The sequence below is a fragment of the Homo sapiens genome, chromosome 7 (genome assembly GCF_000001405.40).
Source record: "Homo sapiens chromosome 7, GRCh38.p14 Primary Assembly".
In the NCBI taxonomy this organism is placed as follows: domain Eukaryota; kingdom Metazoa; phylum Chordata; class Mammalia; order Primates; family Hominidae; genus Homo; species Homo sapiens.
Genome location: NC_000007.14, coordinates 138,548,570 through 138,574,862, shown reverse-complemented (window position 1 = coordinate 138,574,862; position 26,293 = coordinate 138,548,570). Strand labels below are relative to the sequence as shown.

The 26,293-nt window shown below is 40.4% G+C and overlaps 1 protein-coding gene and 1 long non-coding RNA gene across 4 annotated transcripts in view; one reads left to right on the top strand and one right to left on the bottom strand.

Annotated features, from left to right (window-relative positions):
• TRIM24 (tripartite motif containing 24) overlaps positions 1-26,293 on the bottom strand; it is a 129,738-nt gene that overhangs the window by 15,134 nt on the left and 88,311 nt on the right. For 2 of the 3 annotated variants that reach the window (NM_015905.3, XM_024446981.2), the window contains exons 8-12: positions 23,683-23,800; positions 19,897-20,165; positions 7,209-7,382; positions 3,860-4,033; positions 1,221-1,356 (exon numbers count right to left, since the gene is read on the bottom strand). In NM_015905.3, the coding sequence (NP_056989.2) occupies positions 1,221-1,356; positions 3,860-4,033; positions 7,209-7,382; positions 19,897-20,165; positions 23,683-23,800 (871 nt within the window). The remainder of the gene's footprint in view (positions 1-1,220; positions 1,357-3,859; positions 4,034-7,208; positions 7,383-19,896; positions 20,166-23,682; positions 23,801-26,293) is intronic. The other variant, NM_003852.4, reaches the window with a different exon arrangement.
• On the top strand, positions 9,160-18,073 carry LOC124901755 (uncharacterized). Its single transcript, XR_007060556.1, has 2 exons — positions 9,160-9,475; positions 15,088-18,073. It is a non-coding gene; the product is annotated as an uncharacterized LOC124901755 (long non-coding RNA).

Here is a 26,293-nt window from a genome sequence, read left to right as displayed (position 1 = left end):
AGGTTCAAGGGTACATACATTTTCCAAGCCCCTTGAAGCAAATATCCTACTAGGTAATACATATAAGGTACTTTGCCCACAGTACAATATTGGATAAATGTAAACTTTAGTAATATTGCTATGATGGTTTCCAGGAATGTTTTGCCAACTCATACCCCTTCCACCTATGTATGAGAGTACCTCTCATCACATTCTCAATGACTATTTTTATTATTTAAGTCTTAGCTAATTCAGTAACTTAGAAATTCTATCTTGTTTGATTTTTCTTATGACCACTAGTAAGAATGAATTTTTGTCTCATCTGCTATATTGGATAAATGTATTTCCTCTTTAGGGAATTATCTACTTATCATGTCCTTTGGCAATACCACATGTGTTCCTTATTTGTATAAACTTGTCATATGATAAACAGTTTCTCTGCTATATTTTGTCATAAGTTTGTTTAAAACGGGCATCCCCATTTAAATTGTGTTCATGTGACTGTTGAGTGACTTAAATTCTCTTTTCATATTTTGGTTTAAGGTACCTACGTCCTCAGAAGTAATATTAGCGTTTTTCTCTCAGAGGAAATGAGTAGGTATGTCAAGATTCACAAACACAATTAAACACCAAACAAATCACCAGAAGAGTGATTGCTACTTATTGTCACTAATACATTTTGACCCTAGGCAAATTACATCTTAAAGACCACATCACAGGCAACTTATCAACAAGAAAGAATATAACACCAATTTCCCCCTGGAAGTACTATAATGGTGAGAAGTTCTGTTGAAATTGAAAAGGTAAAGAAGGCCTAGTATGATGGCTCATGCCTGTAATCCCAAAGCTTTGGGAGGCTAAGGCAGAAAGGATTGCTTAAGGCCAGAAGTTCAAGACTGTCTCTACCAAAAAATATTAGCCACGTTTGGTAGAGCAGCATACTTACAGTCCCAGCTACTCAGGAGGCTGAGGTGGGAGATCGCTTGAGCTCAGGAGTGAGTCTGCAGTGAGCTATGATCGCACCACTGCACTCTAGCCTGGCAACAGAGCGAGACTGTGACTCAAAAGAAAGAAAGGATAAAGAAATTTAACCTTTGTTTTCTCTGAAAGCATACTAATTTTAAATAGTGAAAAACTCAGATTAAGCATTCAACAAAAAAGGAGAAGAGGGGTAATTTTTTATTCCAAGTAAAGTGAAAACTAGAAAAACTTTCACAAAAATCAAAAGAAGCCCACTTTACCTGCAAGGCCTGGAGATGGCACTGATGAATTTGGTGACTGGACCGTTCTGTTTGAGGGTGGTCTTGGCTGGCCATGATCTATATTAGTATCTTTCCTCACAATATTGTCCAGCATAATAGTACTTGAACAGTCAATCTTACAAGAAAAGAAATTATTTCAGGGCATTCTGATTTTGCAAGTTAAAAGCTACTTTTAAATTTATAAGAAAGCTTCAATAACTTAATAATTATTATCGAATAACAAAACATAGATACCACATTTGAGAAGTTCTAACAGATATTTTCCCCATAAACAACCTTGAATAAAGGTTTTCACTATCTTAGTGTTTCACCTTAGTAAAATATTGAGGACGCTATTTCAAAAACAGGAGTCAAAAGGAATATCATGTCATTCACACTCTTAAAAATTGAAAAAATTCTTATAAACGACAAAAGCTTGCCATATGAAAAACATAAACTTGGTGAGAAGACTATCACAATTTTACATTTCTTGCGAATCTCTTTAATGTCTCCCTAAACAGCATTCAATCTATTGTGGTATATGGTTTTGCTTGAAAAATATGAAGAAAATCTAGCCTCACACAGATAGATAGGACCTAGTGGATCCTCTGAAAGGGATACTTTAACAACTGATACTCTGGGTATGTGCTAAATAGACGAAGTCCATATATCTACAGCACTAACCTCACTGAATACATTACTGTTGTTTTGTAGGAGAAAAGGTGAACCCTAAAGATTCTTGCTTTAATATAACAGGAATACAAATAACACTTCTTTTCCTTATTCATTGCCAGGCAAAAATATTTACAAATCCCTAATGAGTAAGAGTTTAATACTTTAGACACAAAAATTCTTTCATGCCTACATATACCAAATTTCCCACCAATGTCTTTGGGCTTAAAATCCAGTTCAATTCTTTAACATAGTTCTACTCTTGTTCAACCAGGATTCTATAAGATAATTAAGTCCTACAGCCATAGGGCACAGTTTGTATATAATGAATCAATTTCTTGCTTATGCACCTAGAATGGTACTAGTTATGAAGCACCTTTGGGAGGAATGAGAAAACAGTCACTCATTTCAGCTTATTCTGTAATTCCTAAGAGGAATTTCAGGTAAGAAAGCCTGGTGGAAAAAGGTTCACCTGTATGAGGACTGCAGAGGAAAAAGCAGAAAGAATTTTACTTTCTGTGGGTTCGGGGGCAGGGAAATCGGGCCAGGTGGTTAATATACAGGGTCATTTTTGTTTTAATATTCTTTTGGCAATACTTGGCCAATATTTTTCAAAGAGTACAAAAAGTACTAGAATGACTAAATTCATGAGAACTTAATACAAGGAAAGTTGTTTACTTTGTGGGATAATCCTAAAAGCCAAATAAAACTATGGGGATTAGATGTAAGTTTTCCTATGAACCATCCATGCATGAGAAAATATATGTATTCTACTCATTTAAAGTATACAAAACTATTTTAAAAATGGAATGACTCTGGTAAGATTAACAATGCAACTATTAGGAAATATTAATTGATCTCAACTTGAAAAACAAATAATGAAAATAAAAAAGTTATTTTCACAATCTTATAGGTAATTTGATCCAAGTAAAGAGTACAAGATATTTCCTAAAAGCTTCTTAACATTAGGTGCGTATGTATATGTGCACGACAGTAGGTTATCTAACTTTAGATTAAAAAAAGGATCAAACACAGAATCAACTTATATATGGAGATCTGTCTACAGAATGCAGACTTTCTGCCTTTGGAATAGTCATACTGGCTGGGTGTAGTGGCTCATGCCTGTAATCCCAGCACTTTAGGAGGCCAAGGCAGGAGGATCCCTTCAGCCCAGGAGTTCAAGACCAGCCTGGGTAACATAGGGCGTCTCCCCCATCTCTATTAAAAATAAAAATCATTTAAAAATATAATAAATAACAAAAAGTCATACTGACAAAGAGTTTGGAGAGTGAGTTAATTTACATGTAGTATAAACCAGAGGTAATTTTGCACTTGTCAGTATGATCTAACAGGATTTCTATTATTAAACTTGTCTTCATCTCTTCTGATGTCCAGCCATTCAACGTCCCAGCATATCTTTCCATGTCCTTACTTTTCTCCTTTCCCAGCTTAGATTCCATGATCCATCACCATAATCACTCATTTACAAACACCTTTAACTCCGGTGGCTTGAAAGACATTAGATTATGTGTCCAATGTTCATAATCTTTTTATTTTTACTACTGTTGTAATATTCTAAAGGATTAAAATTAACTTGTAAAAACAAACAACCTATAATCCAACAAATTCATGCCTTCTACCAGATCCAAATTCACTAACAATTTTCTTTCTTTGTTGAGACAGGGTCTCGCTCTGTTAGGCTAGAGTGCAGTGGCATGATCTCAGCTCACCACAGCCTCCGCCTCCCAAGTAGCTGGGATTACAGGCGTGTGCTATCATGCCTGGTTAATTTTTGTATTTTTTGGTAGAGACGGGGTTTCACCATGTTGGCCAGGCTAGTCTCGAACTCCTGACCTCAAGTAATCTGTCTGCCTCAGCCTCCCAAAGTGCTGGGATTACAGGAGTGAGCCACTGCACCCGGCCAACAGTTTTCAACAGAGGCTAGTATAAATTTTGTGTCTACTTACATCCGGAAGAGAGGGAAGATTATAAGACCCTCCCACTGGTGAGCTCAAATCGATCATAGGTGAACCAAAAGCCTTTCCATCATATCCTGCTGCACTAGTAATCGTGGGGCTGGAAGGAGTAGAGGATGTGCTGTTGGTAGTTGATGGGGTTCCCTGTCCACTGCTGATCTGCCACTACAGTAACAAGAAGAGAAGAACAAAGGCTATCAACAAGCTTATAAAATACAACATCTATGTAATCACTCACACAAAATGAAGTAGAAGAGTTCAACTGTAATTTACATGGAAGGAGAATGGGACAGCAAAAGACTGCACAAGTATATATAATTTTCATTAATCTTGTCAAAAAAAAAAAAAAACCAAAACAGTAAAAAGCACTGATTTTTACTGGAAGACAACAGTTAGTATATACCAGAAAATCACAGTACCCAATCTTGGCAGGTTTATACATATTGGAAAAAAAATGTAAATATATACATAGCAACTTCAAGGTAAAGATGGAGGGTTGAAAACATACATTTCTTCTATCCCTATCTGAAATACTTGAAAATACTAAGCTACAGACTGGTACTTTCAGGATTTTATATTCCTCTTCTCATATATGAACAGATAATTAGGCCTCGATAAATATCTGAGGAAAGTACTATCATTCCTGCTGAGATAAACACATTAAGATGATGATAGGCATGCTGAAGTATATAGAGGTGAAGCATGCTGCTGTCTGGAATTTACTCAAAACCTATTGAAAAACATGATGGGCTGGGCATGGTGGCTCATGCCTGTAATCGCAGCACTTTGGGAGCCCAAGGTGGGTGGATAACTTGAGGTCAAGAGTTCAAGACCACCCTGGCCAACATGGTGAAACTCCATCTCTACTAAAACACAAAAATTAACCGGGCGTGGTGGTGGGCACCTGTAATCCCAGCTACTTGGGAGGCTGTGGCAGGAGAATCACTGGAACCCAGGAGGCAGAGGTTGCAGTGAGCCAAGATTGCACCAGTGCACTCCAGCCTGGGCTACAGAGAGAGAGATTCTGCCTCAAAAAAAAAAAAAAAAAGGATGACTTGATGAATGGACAAAGGAATAGATAAACATGTAATAAGGCAAGTAGAACAAAATGTTCCCTATATAATTCTTTCAATTTTTATTATGTTTGAAAATTTTCATGCTGGAAGAAGGAAAGTAACTAAGTGTACTGCAAGATGCCGTATTTTCCAAACATGGTCATTCACAAATGAACAGCACTATATAAAATGTCTGAAACATTCCAATTTTGAAAAACCTAATTTATATATTCCATTGTAGAAACTACATACAGAAACATATGAAGTTGGACATGAATGTCTTCTTTACCACCTACTCCTCCCTCATATTCCCCACCTCTATGCCCCCTTTCCTCCTCCTCTACCAAGAACAATCAGTTGGTGGATCGTTTCAGGTTTTTTTCTATGTACATGATGAGGCTGGAGGAAAACACACATACAAATGAGATAACACCTCACAAAAATTCTATAACATGCTTTTCCTCACGTACTCAGAAAATCATATCTAGATTACTGCATTTTCTTAATATCTGAAAAGTATTCCACTGTATGAGTATACTCTAATTTGTTAAACTCATCTACTACTTAAAAGCAATTTCCCAGTAGATTTTTTCCTGGCTTGTTCCTTTACTTATTCATTCATGTTTACATTTTTGGTCAACAACCATTTTAAAAAAACATGCTTAGAGTATCTACTCATTAAAATACAATAAATAGGGAAGAGGTAAACATTTGAATACTGAGCATGTGCTAGGTGCTTGTATATACATTAGAATAAACTCTCAACATAACTCTGCAAGATACGCATTTTATAGCTGAGGCAAGGGAGATGCGAAAAGACTACGTAAGTGCCACAAAATTATTAGGAAAATAAGTAGAATTTAAGGCCAAACTGAAGCTTGGGTCCTTTTTACTTTCCTTCTAATGATGAAATAATAGGTATGAATTTTATTTTAAATAATTAAAATATTGTTTAAGAGAATTTGGTGATGATATAGCAAAGGCAAATTGATTATACGAAGATATGTATAGACACAGAGTGTACATACTTTTAGAATAAAATATTAAAATGATTTTATTAAAATGGATGTTATAGAATTATGAAAATTGCATCATCTTTATTTTGGTCTTGGAGAAACCAAAATCAGTCTACAATCAGCTAGACAGGCTGTTGTCATAGGAGCTTTGAGAAGAAAAAACACTGTGATAACTTTAAGATAATGTAAAACACAGAAAATATTTTTACCTGAAGACACTAAGTATATAAATAATACAGCCGGGTATGGTGGCCCACACCTGTAATCCCAGCACTTTGGGAGGCTGAGGCGGGCATATCACTTGAGGCCAGGAGTTCGAGACTAGCCTGGCCAACATGGTGAAACCCTGTCTCTACTAAAAATACAAAAATTAGCCAGGCATGGTAGTGGGCGCCTGTAATCCCAGCTACTCTGGAGGCTGAGGCAGGAAAATTGCTTGAACCCGGAAGGCAGAGGTTGCAGTGAGCTGAGATCATGCCACTGTACTCTAGCCTGAGTGACAGAGAGAGACTTTAAAAAAAAAAAAAAAAAAAAAAAAAAAAAAGGAGGCCAGGTACGGTGGCTTACGAGTTTAGGAGATTGAGACCATCCTGGCTAACACGGTGAAACCCAGTCTCTACTAAAAATACAAAAAAAATTAGCTGGGCGTGGTGGCGAGTACCTGTAGTCTCAGCTACTCAGGAGGCTGAGGCAGGAGAAATGGTGTGAACCCAGGAGGCAGAGTTTGCAGTTAGCCCAGATTGCGCCACTGCACTCCAGCCTAGGCAACAGAGAGAGACTCTGTCTCAAAAAAAATAAAAAAATAAAAATAAATAAGCTGTATCATATTAAATATGAATTAAATATTAAACTTCATCAGATATATATGTATTCCCTCTTGAAACTGTGCCATAATTTTGTTTCCAAGAAATCTTCTTGAGACGCTTCAAAGATTCATTTATTGTTCTATTTTGTGGAATGTAACTTGTATTTGTTAGAATACTTTTATCTTAGGAAATTTAATATACTCACCTAAAAGTTATCCATACCATATTATAAAAATTAATACCTATGGTCATTGATTATATTGGGCCATCACTTCTACATAAGTGGTTTAATTTCTCTTACTGATAAAAAGCATCAAACTTTGCAATTCACATTTATTTAAAAAATGAAAAAGAAGGCTTGCTCTTGGCTCTTTATAACCTGTTGCTTAATCTGTAAATTCTTTGTGATTTGAAAGTAGAAAGCAGCAGAAAAAGCAATTGAGAAAAGAAGGTAGATATATACCTGTTTTATGGCTTGTTGAGCCAAGAAAGCCATCTGTAGGGGGTTTGGCTTTATTGCTTGTCGTGGTATGTTCTGGTTTGGTGGATATCTCAGTTGTTGAGGATGAGGAGGAAGAACTGGTCCATTGGGTTTGGGGCTGTGATTCTGAAAGTTTATCAAACGTGGAGGCGGTTGCTAGAAAAAAGAAATTAAACCAATTTAGTAACAATCTTCTTCTGAAAAACAAATTATAAATCTCTATCTTATAAAACTTTTACAGAAAAATAGAACTCTGCCACAGATCAATCAATTATTAAGATTTACATAAGGGAATGAGGGGTGGGGGATGGGCAGACTTTCAGAATTTGTGTAAACAACTTTTTTAAAAGAACCTTACTAGGAAAGAACCTTGGGAGAGGGATTGCCACCTAGATTTTGTAAGTAGATTGTACCAGAATTGGACCTAGGCCATGTTGGGAAGTAAATAAAATGTGTCTTTGGTATCCTTCTAAGTCCTTCACAATTATCTTTCACAAAGAACTACCCTTTTGAAACCTCCTAAAAATAAAGTGATGGTAGAATAATAACTGCTAACACTTATTGAGCAGTTATTAAATGCCAGGTACTGCTTTAAATGCTTCACATGTATTCACTAATTTATTCTTAGCAATATTATTATAAAGCACAGATTATTTCTATTTTATAGATAAGAAAGCTAAAATAAAGCACAGAAAATTTAGTAACTTGCTCAAGATTAACAAAGACAATAAGGCATGGAGCTGGGATTTGAACAAGTAATCTGGCTCAGTGGGTGTACTCAAAATGAACAAATCGTTAATAATGAAAATAGTTGATATTAGTAACACTTAGTAAGTTTTAGATCTTATTGAGCCCTGGCAGGCATTTTACATATTATTATGTTATTGAGTCTTATGAAGTAGGTATTATTACCTTTGTTTTGCAAATTAGGAAACTAAAAGTTTGAAAACATAATTTGAAAAAAGTCACACAGCTAACACCAAGCAGCACACCAAGGCTTTAATCCAAATCTAGTCTGCCATATCATTACCAAAACATGTTCGGGTGCTTAGCTGGCTGTTAAGATACTGAGTAATTACAACTTAGAGGATGAGTCTCCATAGAAGAAAACATTTTCTGTTTTTTGTTTGTTTGTTTGTTTGTTTTTTGAGATGGAGTCTTGTTCCGATCTTGGCTCACTGCAACCTCTGCCTCCTGGGTTCAAGTGATTCTCCTGCCTCAGCCTCCCAAGTGGCTGGAATTACAGGAATGCCCCACCACACCTGGCTAATTTTTGTATTTTTAGTAGAGATGGGGTTTTGCCATGTTGGTCAGGCTGGTTTCGAACTCCTGACCTCAAGTGATCAGCCCACCTCAGCCTCCCAAAGTCCTGGGATTACAGGCTTGAGCCACTGTGCCTGGCCAGAAAACATATTTTCAAAGCAAAGTCTCCAAGAACAACCCTGGTTGATTACAGGAAGGCTGGGTGAAGGAATCACAAATGAGGCTGAAGCAGAAATAAAAAAGAGAAAAACAAGTTTCCCTGTACTTAGCTGACTCACTCCAAGGCCAGCAATATGCAGGGCCCTGGCAAAGCTTTGATAAAACTATCTGGAAAGCCAGAGCCCAAAGGAAGGAGCTCCAGAGACTCTCCCAACACCCCCTCAGAGCAAGCTTAAGCAAATCAAATTCCTTTACTATCTCCTCATCCCCCTTACCATTACTCAATTTCCAAGTTTTGTAAGTTCCTGTTTTTCCTTCAATGCAGCTGCAAGGTCACAAGCTATGCTAAGGATTATGAAACCTGTCACTGATTAACTGCCTTTGTTCTGCTTCTGTAAGCCTGCTTGCCTACACCATGAATTTCATGCCATTAGATTCCCACCACGCCATTTAAACTAGCCAACCCCCTTTCAGAAGTGTGTATAAAAGTCAAGCCCTGTCTTTGTTCAGGGCCTAGCCTTTGGATGTGAATCCGTTGGGCCAGTGGCCACTTAAATAAAATCCTCCTCTTCTACCTATTGGTCTCTCCAGTCCTCTGATTCCTGAAACATTTTCTGGGGGCTCGCCCGGGATTGGAGACGAAAGGTTTACTGTCTCTTCGCCTGTGAGACTGGAGCCCCAGGCCGGGAGAGACCTGTGACCCCAGGCGCCACTGGGAGAACTTCAACCCAGAGGGGTGATCAGCTCTCCCTTGACCCTACCTGACAGCACAATGGAACCTAAGCAGGAACAGGATGATTCCAGGAACAGTGCACTACAGGATTGTGGTAAGGTTTGAGCCCGAGGCAGGACCTGTCCCATAAGAATGGAAGGGGAGCCTGATCACCTCCCGGGGTGTAACTAGTGGTCAAACACAGGACGTGAGAGTGGCTTGCAAAGTCAGGGAAGCTCACAAGCTCACACCCCAACCAACCCAGGACATGAGAGTGGCTTGCAGAGTCAGTTGAGAAAGAGGAACTGGGAGCGGGGAAGTGTGTGAGTGCATGTGAAAGAGGCGGTTCCAGGAGGAACCAATGCGGGGAGTGATGTGTGGGGGCCGCAGTTCTCTTAGCGTAGACCATACACTCTGAGAGAACCATGGGACTGACCGGGACTAACAGTGTTCCACATATGGCTTAGGGAGGTGCCCCACAATTTAGTAATTGTGGGGGTCAAAACAGAGCCTCCAATGCTAAGTGGCATCTGAAATACTCCTGCGAGGGGGACGGTCTAATCGGTCCGAAGTGAAAGTGAGAGTGAGTGTGTTGCGCTGTAACTGGGAGGAAATGAGAGGGAAGTCGTCAAAACCCACCCCATTACAATGTATGTTAAAGAATTTTAAGAAAGGTTATGCAGGGGATTACGGGATGAAGTTGACCCCTCAGAGGTTGAGAACTCTGTGAAATAGAATGGCCCTCTTTTAGTGTCGGATGGCCAGCCAAAGGAACCACAGATAGGGAAACAATTGGCCATGTATTTAAGGTGGTGATTGGGGTCGAAGGACAGCCAGGGCACCCAGACCAATTCCCTTATATTGACTCATGGCTAAATGTAGTTCAAACTTGACCTGCATGGTTGCAGCCCTGCCTGGCAGCTTACTGCAAAATGCTTGTGGCTCAGACCGAGCCTAAAGTGAAAGTAAAATCAGCTTTGCTGGCAAATACGGAGACAAAGAAAAAGTCATGGGAAGGGCAAGAGAAACCAGTTTTGCAGGAACTGCCAGAGGAGATAGAAATTCCTCTTCCATATATTCCAATCTACCCCCATTTACTGAGGCCAACGGCCCCCAAGGAGTCAGATTCAGATGGTAACATGCTCCAAGACTCACCCCAAAAGGAAAGATCGGAGCCCCAGGAGGTCAGGGAAGAAAGATAAGATGATCAAGTGGGCTGCCTCCAATCTGGTCATGCTTGGGCTATGCAAATGCCTCTTAGGGAGACACGGGGACCCATCTATTATGATGAACAGGGTCAAGTCCAAGGGGGGCAACGGAACTTCATCTACCAGCCTTTTACAACCACTGATCTCCTAAACTGGAAACACCATACCCCCTCCTACATGGAGAAGACCCAGGCCCTCATAGATTTAATGCAATCCATCTTCCAGACACACAATCCTACGTGGCCAGACTGTAGGCAGCTCCTCTTGACACTGTTTAACACTGAGGAGTGCTGGAGGGTAATCCAGGCAGCTCTCTGCTGCCTAGAAGCCAGTGCACCTGAAGGCACACTTAACGTTCAGGCATACACTCAGGGCCAGTTTCCAGAAGCAGACCCCCACTGGGATTCAAATCATGCAGTCCAATTACAGTACCTACAGAGGTACCGAGAAGCACTCTTGCAAGGGCTAAAGGAAGGCAGGAAAAAGGCAATCAATATAGGAAATATCTCAGAAGTTCTTCAAGGAGCTGATGAGAGCCCTAGCCAGTTTTATGAGAGACTCTGTGAGGCATTCCAGCTTTACACTCCGTTTGACCCTGAGGCCTCTGAAAATCAGTGCACAGTGAACACGGCATTTGCAGGACAAGCCCAGGGTGACATCAGGTGGAAGATGCAAAAGCTAAAAAATTTCGCAGGCATGAATGCCACCCAACTTATAGGAGTGGCCACCAAGATGTATATTAACCGTGACCAAGAGGCAAAAAAGGAAGCAGATCGGAGGCTTAGGAAAAAGGCCAATATGTTAGCAGTGACCCTTACGGTAAGGGAAACTAGCATTGCAAGAGGGTGCGGATGTGGACACGGGCACAGACGGAGATGGGGCCAAACCAGACAGAGGCTCAAAAGCCGGCTGAGGTTAGATAAGCACCAATGTGCATGATGCTAAAAGGGACACTGGAAAAAATCAGTGTCCAGAGGGCAGTGAAGAAAATGGCGGAGGCTATGAAACAAAAATGCCACCAGTCAAAGGCTGCTGCACCCTGAAGGAACCAGATACCGACCTGATCGGGGTGGCAGGGACTGAAGAATATAAGGACAAGGACAGACCAGGCTCCTTCTCCTTAGGCCCCCAGGAGCCCATGGTCACATTAGAAGTGGGGGGCCAGCTAATGGACTTTATGGTGGACAATGGGGCTGAATAGCTGGTAGTAACCCGATCCATAGGACCACTATCCAAAAACTATACAACTATTGTAGGGGTCACCAGGGTCTCAGAGAAGAGGCCACTTTGTTGGCCAAGGAGGTTCGTTATAGGAGGACAAGAGGTCCAACATGAATTCCTGTACCTCCCAAATTGCCCAGTTCCCCTGCTGGGGAGAGACCTACTCTGAAAACTGCAAGCACAGATTGCTTTTGGGCTACAAGGGGATATGACTCTAAACCTGACTGACCCAAAGGCCATGGTGTTAACCCTTACCGTCCTGCAAACTGAGGAATGGAGGCTATACACAAAAAAGCCACCAGAACTGTCTCACAAACCAGGAATACTTGAATTATAGAGGCTACTTAATAAAATTCCTGGAGTATGGGCTGAAGATAACCCACCCGGGCTGGCTAAAGATTAGATGCCAGTGGTAGTAGAGCTAAAACCAGGGGCAACCCCAGTTTAGTTTGCCAGTACCTGGTTTTCCCGGAAGCCATATGAGGTGTTCACAAACACTTAGAGTGAGCGACTCTACTAACATGGAATCATGTTTGTAGTCAAATTCCAGTCACCCTGGAACATCCCACTCCTGCCAGTACAGAAGCCATCTGGAGAATACAGGCCAGTGCAGGACTTGTGTGCTGTGAACCACACTACAGTAAACATCCACCCGATAGTACCAAACCCATATACTTTGATGGGACTTATTCCAGCAAGTGCTGCCTGGTTTACTTGCCTAGACCTGAAAGATGCATTCTTCTGTCTTCACCTGGCACCAATTAGCCCATTTTGAGAGTCGCAAATGGGGCGAGTCGCAGTTCACCTGGACAAGACTCCCACAAGGATTCAAAAAATCTCCCACAATCTTTAAACCTCAAGGCCTACACCCCGCCAAATGACAACTGCACCTTGCTGCAATATATAGATGACCTTTTTTTGGCAGCCCCAACCCAAGAAGACTGCTTTCAAGGAACCCAAGACCTCCTCCATCTCCTGTATAAGGTGTCCAGGAAGAAGGCTCAAATCTGCTCCAGGAGAGTCCAATATTTAGGCTTTGAAGTAAGTCAAGGGGAACAATGGCTTGGCAGTGAGCGAAAGAAGGCTGTTTGTGCACTCCCCACTCCAAACACCCAGCGACAAATAAGAGAATTCCTAGGGGCAGCAGGGTTCTGCTGTATCTGGATCCCAAATTTCTCATTTATGGCCAAGCCATTATATGAAGCCACAAAAGAGGGGAGAAAAGGAGCCCCTCCTGTGGGAGGCTGACCAGGAGAAGGCATTTAAGCAGATCAAAGAAGCCCTAACTCAGGCCCCAGCCGTAGGATTGCCAGATCTAACTAAGCCTTTCTTTCTATATGTCCATGAGTGAAAAGGAATTGCTATAGGGGTCCTAATTCAGGTCATAGGATCATGGCATGGCCCGGTAGCATAATTATCCAAGCAACTGGATTCTGTGGCACTAGGATGGCCTCTGTGCCTCAAAGCACTAGCTGCCACAGCCCTATTAGCACAGGAAGCTGACCAACTGACTCTAGGGCAGCAACTGACCATCCAGGTACTGCACTCGGTTATAACTTTAATGGATCAGAGATGGCATCCTTGATTATCAAACCTAAGAATGACTCAATACCAAGGGCTCCTATGCAAAAATCCTCACATAAATACCCTAAACCTGGCTACCTTGCTCCCAACTGATTTGGAACCAGGAGGCCCCCTTCATTGCCGTGTAGATGGAGTAGGCGAGGTATCCTCAAGCCAGAAAGATCTTACACACCAACCCCTCAAGGACCCAGATGTTGAATACTTTACAGATGGAAGCAATTTTGTATTGGAAGGGGTCCGGCAGGCTGGGTATGCAGTAGTAACATTGGACTCAGTGGTAGAGGCTCAGTTTCTGCCCACAGAACATCAGCCCAAAAAGCAGACCTAATAGCCCTGACAAGAGCCCTTTTGCTAGCAAAAGACAAAAAAAGTCAATGTTTATACTGACTCCAAATATGCCTTTGCCACATTGCATGTTCATGGAGCTATATATAAGGAAAGAGGACCCTTAACTGCTGGGGGCAAAGAAATAAAGTACGAGGAAGAACTCCTACAGCTCTTAGATGCTGTATAGGCCCCAAAGAAAGTGGCTGTTATGCACTGCAAAGGCATCAAAAGGCAGGAACACTAGAGGCCAAAGGAAACAGAAAAGCAGACATGGAGGCAAAACAGGCAGGAATGACTACCCCGCATTGTAAAAAGGAAGCCCTAGCTTTGCCTCTCCTCCCAGAGGTCCCAAATTACTCTCCAAATGAAAGGGCCTGGTGTGCCAAACAGACTGGACATTACATTGAAGAACGATGGTGGAAATTCTCTGATGAGAGGCTAGCCATCCCTGAAATAGTGACCCCCAAATTTGTAAGACAATTCCATCAAGGAACTCATATAATAAGGAAAACGGCACTAGAAAGACTACTTGGACACCATTTCTATGTGCTGTGGCTCACTGCCATCACCCGAGCCGTTTGCAAACAATATCTAATTTGTGCCCAGAACAACCCACGGCAAGGGCCCACTCGGCCCCAGGAATACAGTAAATAGGAGCCACACCCTGTAAAAACCTACTAATGGACTTCACTGAGCTGCCCCGAGCCAGAGGCTATCCGTACATGTTAGTGCTTGTCTGCACCTTTTCAGGATGGGTCGAGACTTTCTCCACCAGAACAGAGAAAGCATGAGAAGTGACTAAAGTATTGTTAAGAGACATTATCACCAGATTTGGACTGCCCTTGACTCCAGGGTCAGACAATGGTCCAGCATTTGTAGCCGAAATAGCTCAAGATCTAGCAAGGCTGTTAAAAATAAAATGGAAGTTACACATAGCCTATAAGCCACAGAGTTCAGGAAAAGTGGAACACATGAATTGGACACTTATACAGCTACTGAAGAAATATTGGCAAAAAACTCATCTGAGATGGGATCAAGTCCTGCCCATGGTCCTCCTCTGAGTCAGGTGCACCCCCACCAAACAAACTGGCTATTTGCCCTATGAGATCTTGTTCGGTTGGCCATCCCCAATCATAGGTCAAATTAAAGGTGACCTCCATGAACTAGGGGAATTAACCTTAAGAAGGCAAATGCAGGCTTTAGGGATAAGCCATGCAAAGAATCCATGGCTGGGTACAGGAAAGAATGCCCATAAGCCTAACAGACCCATCACACCCTTTTAGACCTGGGGACTCTGTTTAGGTTAAGAAATGGAACCCAACCACTTTAGGACCCATATAGGATGGGCCCCATACTGTAATCTTGTCCACTCCCACTGCTGTTAAAGTTGCAGGAACTGTGCCTTGGATCCACCACAGTCAGCTGAAACCAGCAGCCCAAGACAAGTGGACCAGCCAACAGGACCCAGACCATCTGACCCAGCTGATCCTACGGTGGGACCAGGTTGCCAGTGAAGTCAACAGCCTTGCTCTGGTCACCCTGGAAGCTGACCAGTCTATGCACGGCTGAAGCTTGAGGAGACAACAGCCCGGCTCTAGTCACCCCAGAAGCTGACTAGTCTATGCACGGCTGAAGCGTGAGCACCATCAGGGAAGTAAATGTGGTTAGAATTCTTAGGTCCAATAGCTTTCCTTATAATACTAATTGTTTTACTATTATCCTGTCTCTTTATCCAACCTCCTCCTGGGGGCAAAGACCTCTTTTGTCCCTGCTGGGTATAAACATGCTACTCTTTACTTTGTTGCTACTCATCCCCATCATGGCACTCCTCATACCAGTGTCAGAAAATGGACTCATAGAAGGGTGCCCCCACTGCATACATACTACGCGGTCGGGGAGCACCATAACTAGGACTCTGCTGTACTATATTTATTATGAGTGCGCAGGGAGCCACTTAGGAACTTGTGCTCATAACCAGGTAACCTATTCAATCTGTGACCCAGGAAATAGCCAGCCCTACATATGTTAGGACCCTAAGTCCCCACCTATTGAGACTTGGTTTGAAGTTCATACTAAGGAAGGGGATCTTCCAAACCAAATCAAAGCCTCTTCCCCTTATGGGGAGGTCATATCCTTATACTTCAATGTTTGCCAGGAGGTAGCAATCCTGTAGTGGTCCATTATCATTGGCCCCACAGGGCACTATGGTACTTGTTCCAAGCAAAAATGTGTGCCCCGTTTGTTCCTCTAGGTCCCCGTTAATAGCCCGCTGGAGCTGCATGACTTGGTCCACTTATCAACAACCACCAAGGCAAGTCATACATATGAAACTACTGGAAAAACCAACTCATAAACCTAGCATTTGCTATCCTGCACATCTCACCATCTTAGAGCCAGGTCTGCCCATATGGACTACAGGCTATCCCAGGACACTGGGGTTCAAAGTCAAAGGTCAAAAAGTAAACTCAGAAGTCAGTCTGTATATTATAAAGAAAACCTGGACCGATTCAACCCAACAGTTCCGAGTTTTTGAGTCATTCTATGAGCACATCCACCAGGAGTTGCCTGAATCCTCTCCCTTGGCCAGCAACCTGTTTGCCCAACTGGCTGAAAACATAGTCAGTAGCCTACATGTCTCCTCATGCTATGCATGTGGAGGAACCATCATAGGGGATCAATGGCAGTAGGAAGCAAAGGAGCTAATGCCCCAAGGTAACTTTACTCTGACTGTCCTCTCCCCTGAACCAACATTCACAAGCTTGAGCGTCTGGCCCTTAAAAAATCTCTATTATCGGGAGATTCTGCATTGTTCGCTGGGGAAAGGCCTTTACCAACTGGGTAGGATAGAATTAACTTGCCTAGGACAGCAATATTACAATGAAACAACAGGAAAGACTTTATGGTGGGGCAGGATAAATAATTCCAAATCACCCCACCCTAGTCCATTCTCCTGTTTCCCCTCTTTACATCACTCTTGGTACCAGCTTGAAACTCCAAATGCCTGGCAGGCACCCTCTGGCCTCTACTGGATCTGTGGGTCATGGGCATATGGGCAGCTGCCAGAGGCCTGTGTACTAGGGACAATCAGACCATCCTTCTGCCTAATCCCTCTAAGGCAAGGAGAAGCCTTAGGATACCCTGTTTATGATGAAACAAAAAGGAGAAATAAAAGGGGCATAACCATAGGAATTAGAAAGATGATGAATGGCCCCCTGAGAGAATAATCCAATATTATGGGTCAGCCACCTGGGCGGAAGATGGAATGTATGGATACTGTACCTCTATTTACATGCTCAACTGCATCATAACGTTATAGGCAGTGCTTGAAATCATGACTAATGTCGCTGCAAGGGCCTTAAATCTACTGGCCTAACAAGCCACAAAAACGAGAAATGCTATTTCTCAAAATAGACTGGCTTTAGACTAGTCTCATAGCCCAGGAAGGTGGGGTATGCAGAAAGTTCAATGTAACTAATTGCTGCCTAGAAATTGATGACAATGGAAAGGTCATTGAAGATATAACTGCAAAAATCCAAAAATTAGCCCATGTTCCAGCCCAGACTTAGAAAGGATGGTCTCCAGATACCCTCTTCGGGGGCTGGTTTTCATCCCTCAGAGGATTTAAAACCTTAATAGGAATAGTCCTGGCCATACTAGGAGGTTGCTTAATACTCCCTTGTCTCTTACCCCTCCTTGTTAAAAACATCCAATCGGCCATAGAGACTCTTGTAACCAGGCAAACTACCACTCAGCTAATGGCTCTAACTAAATATCAACCTTTGTCAAAGGAAGAAACCTGCCTTTTCATGAAGAATTAAGTGATAGAGATGCTTTCCATTAAACTTCATTTACAGGGAGCATCAAAGGGGGGAATGAAGCCGAAATTAAAAAGAGGAAAACAAGTTTTCCTGTACTTAGCTGACTCACTCCAAGGCCAGCAATAGGCAGGGCCCTGACAAAGCCTTGAAAACACTATCTGGAAAGCCAGAGCCCAAAGGAAGGAGCTCCAGAGACTCTCCCAACACCCACTCAGAGCAAAGTTAAGAAAAACAAATTCCTTTACTATCTCCTCATGCCCCTTACCATTACTCAATTTCCAGGTTTTATAAGCTCCTGCTTTTCTTTCAATGCAGCTGCAAGGTCACAAGCTATGCTAAGGATTACAAAATCTGTCACTGTTTGATTCAAACTGCCTTTGTTCTGCCTCTGTAAGCCTCCTTGCCTGTACCACGAGTTTTGTGCCATTTAAATTAGCCAACACCCTTTCAGAAGTGTGTATAAAAGTCAAGCCCTGTCTTTGTTTGGGACCTAGCCTTTGGATGTGAATCTGTTGGGCCAGTGGCCACTTAAATAAAATCCTCCTGTTCCATCCATTGGTCTCTCTGGTCCTCTGATTCCTGCAACAAGGCAAAGGCTAGAAAGCAAGCCTGCTCTGTGGGCTCATAAATACTAGCCCTGGAAATTGAGACCAGTCCTAGAAGAAAAAGGTAACCTTATATGCCAGTCTCCTCTTGACTGATTCTCTACAGTTGGGAATGTATTGCAAAATAAATATTCTTTTTAGTATATCTTAACTGTATGATCACAACTTCTCAAAGAGGAGCCTATTTCCCCCTACATTCACAGGGGACAAATAAATAATCTTTTAAGGTTGAAGCAGCAACACCTGAAACTTTGACACTGTGAAGGCAGACAGCTATAAAGTACAGTCCTATCCTCTTTATTATTTTTATTCTTCCTATTTTTGGAATTTACTATCCTCACCTGGGTCAACTGCTTCTCTCTTAAAAATTAGTTGGCACTGGGTTTACCTCTCATTAACTTTCAAGAGTGGCCAGCAATTACAGACCCAGTGAAAAATACATTTAGAAGCTGATTCTAAGCAAGTGAAATTCTGTAGGTAAAGAGTAGAAAAATAATATTAGAGAAAAATAAGAAAATCTCGAAACTTTAAAAAAGTATAAACCTAAAAGCCATAGCAATGTTTTTATTTTTCTATGAAAATTTTATGAATTGAAGGGTTTTATATCATAGAAATACAAGCAGAACATACTTAGGAAATTACATGGAAAAGCTTTTAAATTTATCTAAGGGATAATTTTTCTTAGCCCAAAATGGTCCTTAAGGGAGAATAAAGGTAGTCATAGAAGTCTTTTGCCACCTTCATCCAGACTAATGTTTACATATTGACAACCAAAAAAATGACACTTAATGCCAGTGTAATGTGCTACGGTATGTAAGATGTCGACCATGCCATGAAGATGCTTATGGTCTGGTAAGATGTAAGGTGATTTCCGCCCCCCTCCTAAACTGTTATGGTTGATTGAGTTAGTGTCTAAGAATCCTGTGACAGGGGAAGCAACTTAAAAAATAAAATTAGGGGCTGGGCACAGTGGGTCATGCCTGTAATCCCAGCACTTTGGGAGGCTGAGGTGGGTGGATCACAAGGTCAGGAGATCGAGACCATCCTGGCTAACAAGGTGAAACCCCATCTCTACTAAAAATACAAAAAATTAGCCGGGTGTGGTGGCACATGCCTATAGTCCTAGCTACTTGGGAGGCTGAGGTGGGAGAATCGCTTGAACCCGGGAGGCAGAGGTTGTAGTGAGCTGAGATCGTGTCATTGCACTCCAGCCTGAGTGACAGAGTGAGACTCCATCTCAAAAAAAAAAAAAAAAAATTGGATTATAGTAAAAATAAGAACGGTAGACAGTATATTTGCTCAGAAATAAAGTTTGAAAAAGGTAGATTATAATGAATCACACTTCTGCCCTTTTCTATTTCACTCTGCCTTAATTTCTAAGATGCAATGTGGTTTACTGAACACTGCATCCTCAAAGAGGGCAGATTCTTAATGTATTCATCATTCTGAAGCACCAATATAGGAATTATAGGCACACAACTTTTCCCATCAATCACAGGCCTGGGTTATTTAGGAATACAAACATTTATCCTTCACTATAATTTAAAGACAATGAAGGGTAGATGAAAATAGATTTATCAACTCAATAAACCATTAAATCCTTTTTAAGTAGGGATTAAAAACTAGGCATTAAATCAGGGATCCTTAATGTGATAAATTTTTATAAATGCAGATATTTAGAGTATGGAAAATGGATGTCTTTGTTATTTTGAGCTGCTAAACACAATTATACTATAATTATCTAAGTGAGGACAGGCCTGCTTCCAAATTTACCTGATGAGAGATGGAAGGTTGCTGGATGGGCCCCTGCATTCTAGGGTTTGGTAAACCCACAGGTGCTGGCCTCCGTTGCACCTGTTGCCTCTGAGCCATTACCTGTTGCTGCATATGCTGGAGCCGTAATTGAGCTAGGCTGATCTGTGTTGGGAACTTGGATAACTGGTTTGATGATAAACCACTTGGTGGCTGTGAATTCTGTTCCACGACAGGATTCTGCTTAGGCATTTGTGGCTGGCTCTCTTTATCCTCGATTACTAAAGAACCTAATTAAAAAGAAAAGGTTAAGGGAAACAGTTTTTCAGATAGTTGGTGAAATATCACATTTTCTAAAGCTATTTTTGCAGAACTTCAAAATTGCCAAGAAATTCTCTGATCTCATGAGCCCTTTAACACTCTGAAAGAGAACCCCCAAACAGCTTTTGTTCATCTAACTTCTAGTCATCAACATTTATAATATTAGAAATTAAGAATAATTTTTAAAACTTTCTAATTCATTTAAGAATAAAACCATAACAACATGCTTTTATAAAACTATATTGTAAAATATTTGGTAAACATTTTTTGATATTTTAAAATACTGTTTGATGTTTTAAAAAATCTGTTTGAATGTCTGGCTTAATAGCTGAAATCACATTATCTGTTTCTGCACTATCTATCATAATATATTGTTAAGTTAAAATATATGAAAAAAATTTCAGTCTCACTGTATGGCAGACAGCACCTGACAGCAATAACTTAAGTGTACCCTGTGAGTGACCCTGTATGGCCTAAGAAGAATGTGTGTTTGGAGTTCTGCGTTAAGGAACCTAGGAGTGGCCAACCCGGAGATTATCATTCTTTATCAATGAAGAATATCTGAACCCCCAGCTCAGCCTGTGGAATCCAGGCCATATTGGGGATGGATGCCTTTTGCTTTGTGTTAAATGAAGGTTGCCACATGGAGGTTGCTAGCGGGAGGGTGCTAAGTGCTATATAAACTACTTGCTGGTGGTTCTCCTGTCCAGCCCACTTCCACTGGACTGTCCTGTATGTAAGTTCCCTAAATAAGCCCTGTGTCTCATTCACTGGCTCCAGGTCTCTTCTTGGGCCTCTCAAACATGGTCCTATCCCTACTGAAGTCAACAGAGGTCTGGCACAACACTCATCCAGACGTGTAGCTGGAAAAGGGTGGCCTTTGTGGTCCCCTGAAAGAGTACCAGACTATACTTTGAGAACTGCTGTCATATATCAAAACAAGCGAACCTAACATTGGCTCTAAAAACAATCCCAAAAAGTATTTCTGAATCTTTACTATTAACAAGTTGTGATCTCTCAAGTTTCCTATACCTTTACAATGCATACTATGTTAACTTTTTGATACAGAATACATTGACTGGCTTAAAACTAGTTTTAAGAGTTTAACGGTGCCCTTGAAAGGCCTGAATCAAGCTTGATTTCAACAGTAGAAACTTAAATGTTTATGATTTACCAATCATATGCATTCTAAAAATATACAGTTATTCATTAAATGTTTACTGTGTGTAATTCACTATGACAAGAAGGTATATGTGTATGTTTAGAAGAAACAATAACATTCTCTTTTACACATAAGGGATCTAAGGTTTAGAGAGGTTGTAAAACTTATCTAAAGTCACTCAAGACAGTAACAAAATATTCATCTAGATCAATATTTTCCCCTAGCGCTTTTATATGTTTCTCAGAAGCCATGGGTAACAAGTTTAGGAAACTTGTCTCCTTCTTTAGAGATTTACAATGCAAATCTCATTGTATATGAATTTACAGTGCTGTAAATGACAGCTCTAAGAAATCCTACAGTAAAATATATTAACTTCATTATGTCGGTTTCACAAACTATTAGACTAGGAGATCCTGTTTTTGTTTTGGCTAAACTAGATTTATCTGAAACTATATCCATTTATGTGTGTACAGTTTTAAATATAATTCTTAAATGTACTTATGTCTATATGTGGGTGTATTTACCTATTGTGATATAAGTACATAGCACATATGACCACTTGTTTGGATTTATATCTTGTGATGGGTTCAGAGTTCAGATGAATGTGTGGTGGTAGAGTCAGGTGTGGCAATAAGTTACTTATACACATGTTCTGTATTCTAAAGATGCTTTTTGGTAAAATGAGTGTGTAATAATTCCAGTTTCCTGCTATGTATCAATATACATATGTCTGTATCTAAACTAGTCTGCAGGGGTCTCCTTATCACCTTTGCTTCCGGGATTCTTTTTGTTCTTCCCTTATGGGTTAGATTGCCTATTTCCTCCTTTCCTGGTGAGTATGGGCTCTTTCTCCAGCCATTTTCTTTTCTTACCCAGAATCTAGTGTTGGGGATAAGAAACCATCTTTGATGACTCTGAAACAAATTCAACGAGCACCCCCCAACCCCCCACCAAAATCATCAAAGATAATATTGTTTGTTGATAAACAGACAATGTGTAGGGAATTCTTAAATTTGTTTGTATAGTTTCCCTGTGAGAAATTAAGAAAGAAGGCAAAAAGGTGTTTCTACTCAGCAAATAGTACAATAAAGAAGCTAAAGTAGTAACTTTCTGCTGAACTGCTTGCAAGGATACTTTTCTTCCTAATGTTACCAAAATGACAGTCTCTTTTTGTGATAATTCAGTGAGTTCTAATACAGTTATGTGTTGCTAAAGGATGGGGATATGTTCTGATAAATGTGTCATTTAGGTAATTTTATCTTTAGACAAACATCAGTTTACTTATGTAAACCTACACTGTATAGCCTACTACACACCTAGGTTATATGGCATAGCTTATTGCTAGGTAGAGTCTAGGCTACAAACCGGTATAGCATGCAATTGTACTGAATTATCTGGACAATACTGTAGGCAACTGTAAACGATGGTAAGTATCTGTGTATCTAAACATACGAAAGATAAAGTAAAAAAAAAAACTGTATTTATAAGTCATAGATGCAGTTAACTGATTGAGATATCATTATGCAGTACTTGATTGCTTAAGATCTGGGTACTTGTCAGTATGTATGTTTTACTTCAATTAGTAAGATATCTATATAACTATTACCTGATCAGGCAAAAGAAGAAAACTAAAAGTCTTCCCTAAGCAAGATAAAGGATTGAACCATTAAGTTCCTATTGAATAGTTGTAAAGATAAGCCAATAAAAATATAGTAGTTTAAAATAAAACTTTCAGGATATCAAAAATCCTTTATCAATGACAAGTCAAGTTAACCCATTCTGATAAATTTAGAGCTAAGAGAACAAACCAGATTTGGGGGGTTAAGGGAATAGGACAGGACAGGACACCTAAATCCCTAAGTCTAGACACCCTGTCAGTCAATGTTATAGAATGTTTTCTTATCAGCTATACATGTATGTGTGTTTATATTCATGTATATTTGTTACCATATACATACGTTAATGAAATACTATTAGAAACAACATGTCTTTTTAAAACAAAATAATGAAAACGTTTTCAAAGTGAGAGAACATATTTTCTTCGATCCTCCAGCATCAGCCTTCCAAGTAGCTGGGACTACAGGCATGTGCCACTACCCTTAGCTAACTTAGAAATCTTATGTGGAAATGGGCTCTCCCTATGTTGCTCAGGCTGGTCTTGAACTCCTGGGCTCAAGTGATCCTTGAGAGATCCCAAAGTGCTAGGATTACAGATGTGAGCCACCGTGCCCAGCCTAAGTGAACATATTTTCAGTAACATGTCATAATCATTGAGTTTTACAGACAAATGCCACTGAGAAATGTATGTAATGGTAATGGCCCACCTAAGTTGATGATATTTTGAGCCCAGAAACTAGGATCACAGTGAAATTGGATGGTGTTGTTGGTCACTGGGGATGCATCACACCTTGCACGAAGGAGGTGCCGTAACCGGTATGTAATCTAGAAGAAAAAGGAGAGATAACTAAATATTAGGCAAATAATTTATTAAGCGCCCAGTAAATATACAAAAACAGTCTCTGGTATGTACATCAATACACAATAAACAATCATATATAGGTTTGTTGGACATACAACACAATTTTCTTTCCAAAACAAGTTAAAAACTTTTGAGGCGTAACTCAGCTGCACTATTTAACCTATTTTGAAGTGACAGGTTAAAGTCAGTTTTTTGAATTATTAATAAAACTCTGCAGAATCACTAACTCAAATATTTGTAAAATAAAAATTATTAATGTATCTTAATGCTTTCATTTATTTTACTTACTCTCTTAGAAAAGGATTCAGAAGACTAGGGGCTAATGAGTTACAGGGAATACAAATTCGTCTGTTTAGGAAATGGAACTGGGCCTGTGAGTGAGGTGGTTCTCCTTGTTCCTTGTTACAGTTCTGTTCCTGCCATCGCCCTGAATACAACCAGCTTTGAATCTCATATCATCACACCACACCATCCACTTTCCTCCACGCTGCAGTCATCAATGAACATCTACTCATTCTCCCTCAATCCTTGAAGATTTTAGTTCTTGGTTCACTATTACCATCTCCAACATTAGTCCTGTGGCAATTTTTGATGATTTCAATATCCAACCAAATGATTCACTTCCTCTAGTGCCCAAATACCAATAATCCTACAAACCCACCAGGTCCTGTAAGACTTTGCACACACACACACACACACACACACACCATCAACTCCTCTTTCTCTCACTCAATTATGTATGCTCACTTCACTCTCCTCAACGTTTGCCCTAGATAAAACAACCTACCCTGGTTAAATCCCACATTCTGCCTGAATATAATTGAACTGATCTCACTTCAAACACATGACCACTTACTTCAGGTAGGCCATTAAGGCTGCTGACTGGCTAACATTAAGGCTGACTGGCTAACATATGACATTTCTCTAGTCCATTCACTTCCCTACTTTCTTAAATAACTATTTCCTACTTTCTTTTTTCTTTTTGAATCATCAGTATTTCCTCCCCCATTCTTAATCTTAGCTAATGTACTTGCTTAGCATTTCACTGAAAATTAGCAACAATCAAAGATCTTCCACAAACTTCCACCACTTTTCAGTCAATATCCCCTCCTGTTACAATGGATGATGAAACGTCCATGTTTCTAGTTAAAGCCAGCCTTCCACTTGTGCAGTAAAGCACACCCCGTCTTGCCTGCCCAGTAATTTTCATCCCTCTTCTGTTAACACCAATTTTCCCATTTTACTGGATCACACCCATCAACATATAAATATGCTTTGTTTTTCCAGCTAAAAACAAAACTCTTTACTCCTTTTCTCCCATCATCAACTACCCCATTTCTTTTGCAGCAAAACTCTTCAAAAGACTCCTCTAGGTTTACCGTCTCCTATTCTTCCCTGCCCATTCTTTCCTGAAACCATTATGTTCAGGCTTGTAGTAGCTCTTCACACAGGTGGTCAGTCTGCCTTCGTGGAAATGCTTTTTTTCATTTGGTTTCTAGCACGCTATAATCCCATGGTTTTCCCTTGTTTCACTAGCTGCTACTCTTTTGGAGCCACTGAGAATAGATTTAGGTTCCAATGCCAACCTGTTTTTGAACTCCCCAGTAAGGGCAGGGATTCCTCTGCTTCTTGGCAGTGCACAATCTCAGTCTCCATTGTTGGTGATTTCCTCTCTCCCACACCGCTATGTGCTGGAATGCCCAGGGCTCAGTTTTTTGACTTCTCCCTTCCTCTACATTCATATGTAGTCATGTACCACATAGCAATGTTTCAGTCAACAATGGACCACATGTACAACAGTGGTCCCATAAAATTAATGAAGCTGAATAATTCCCATTGCCTAATGATGCTGGAGCTGTTGTAACATCACAGCACCAGGCATTACTCAAGTGTTTATGGTGATACTGGTGTAAACAAACCTACAGTGCTGCCAGTTGCATAATGATAATAAATGACTATGTTACTGGTTTATGTATTTATTATATTATACTTTTTCTCATTATTTTAGAGTGTACTCCTATTACTTACTAAAAAAAGTGACCGCCTCAGCCAAGTCCTTCAAGAGATAGTCTCAGAAAAAGCATTATTATAATAGGAGATGAGAACTGAAGACTTTCCAGTGAGACAAAATGTGGAGGTGTAAGACAGTGATATTGATGATATGAACTTTGGATAGGCCTAGGCTAATGTGTATGTTTTTGTCCTGGTTTTTAACAAAAGGTTTTAAAATAAACAAATAAATACCTAAGCTTATGAATTAAAGATATAAGGAAGAATTTGTACAATGTGTTTGTGTTTTAAGCTAACTGGTTATTACAAAAATCAAAACATTTAAAAAATTAAAAAGTTTATAAAGTTAAAAAGTTACGGTAAGCTTTCCTTAAGTAAGCTAAAATTTATTATTGAAGAAAAAATATTTTCAAATAAATTTAATGTAGTCTAAAAGTAAGGTGCTT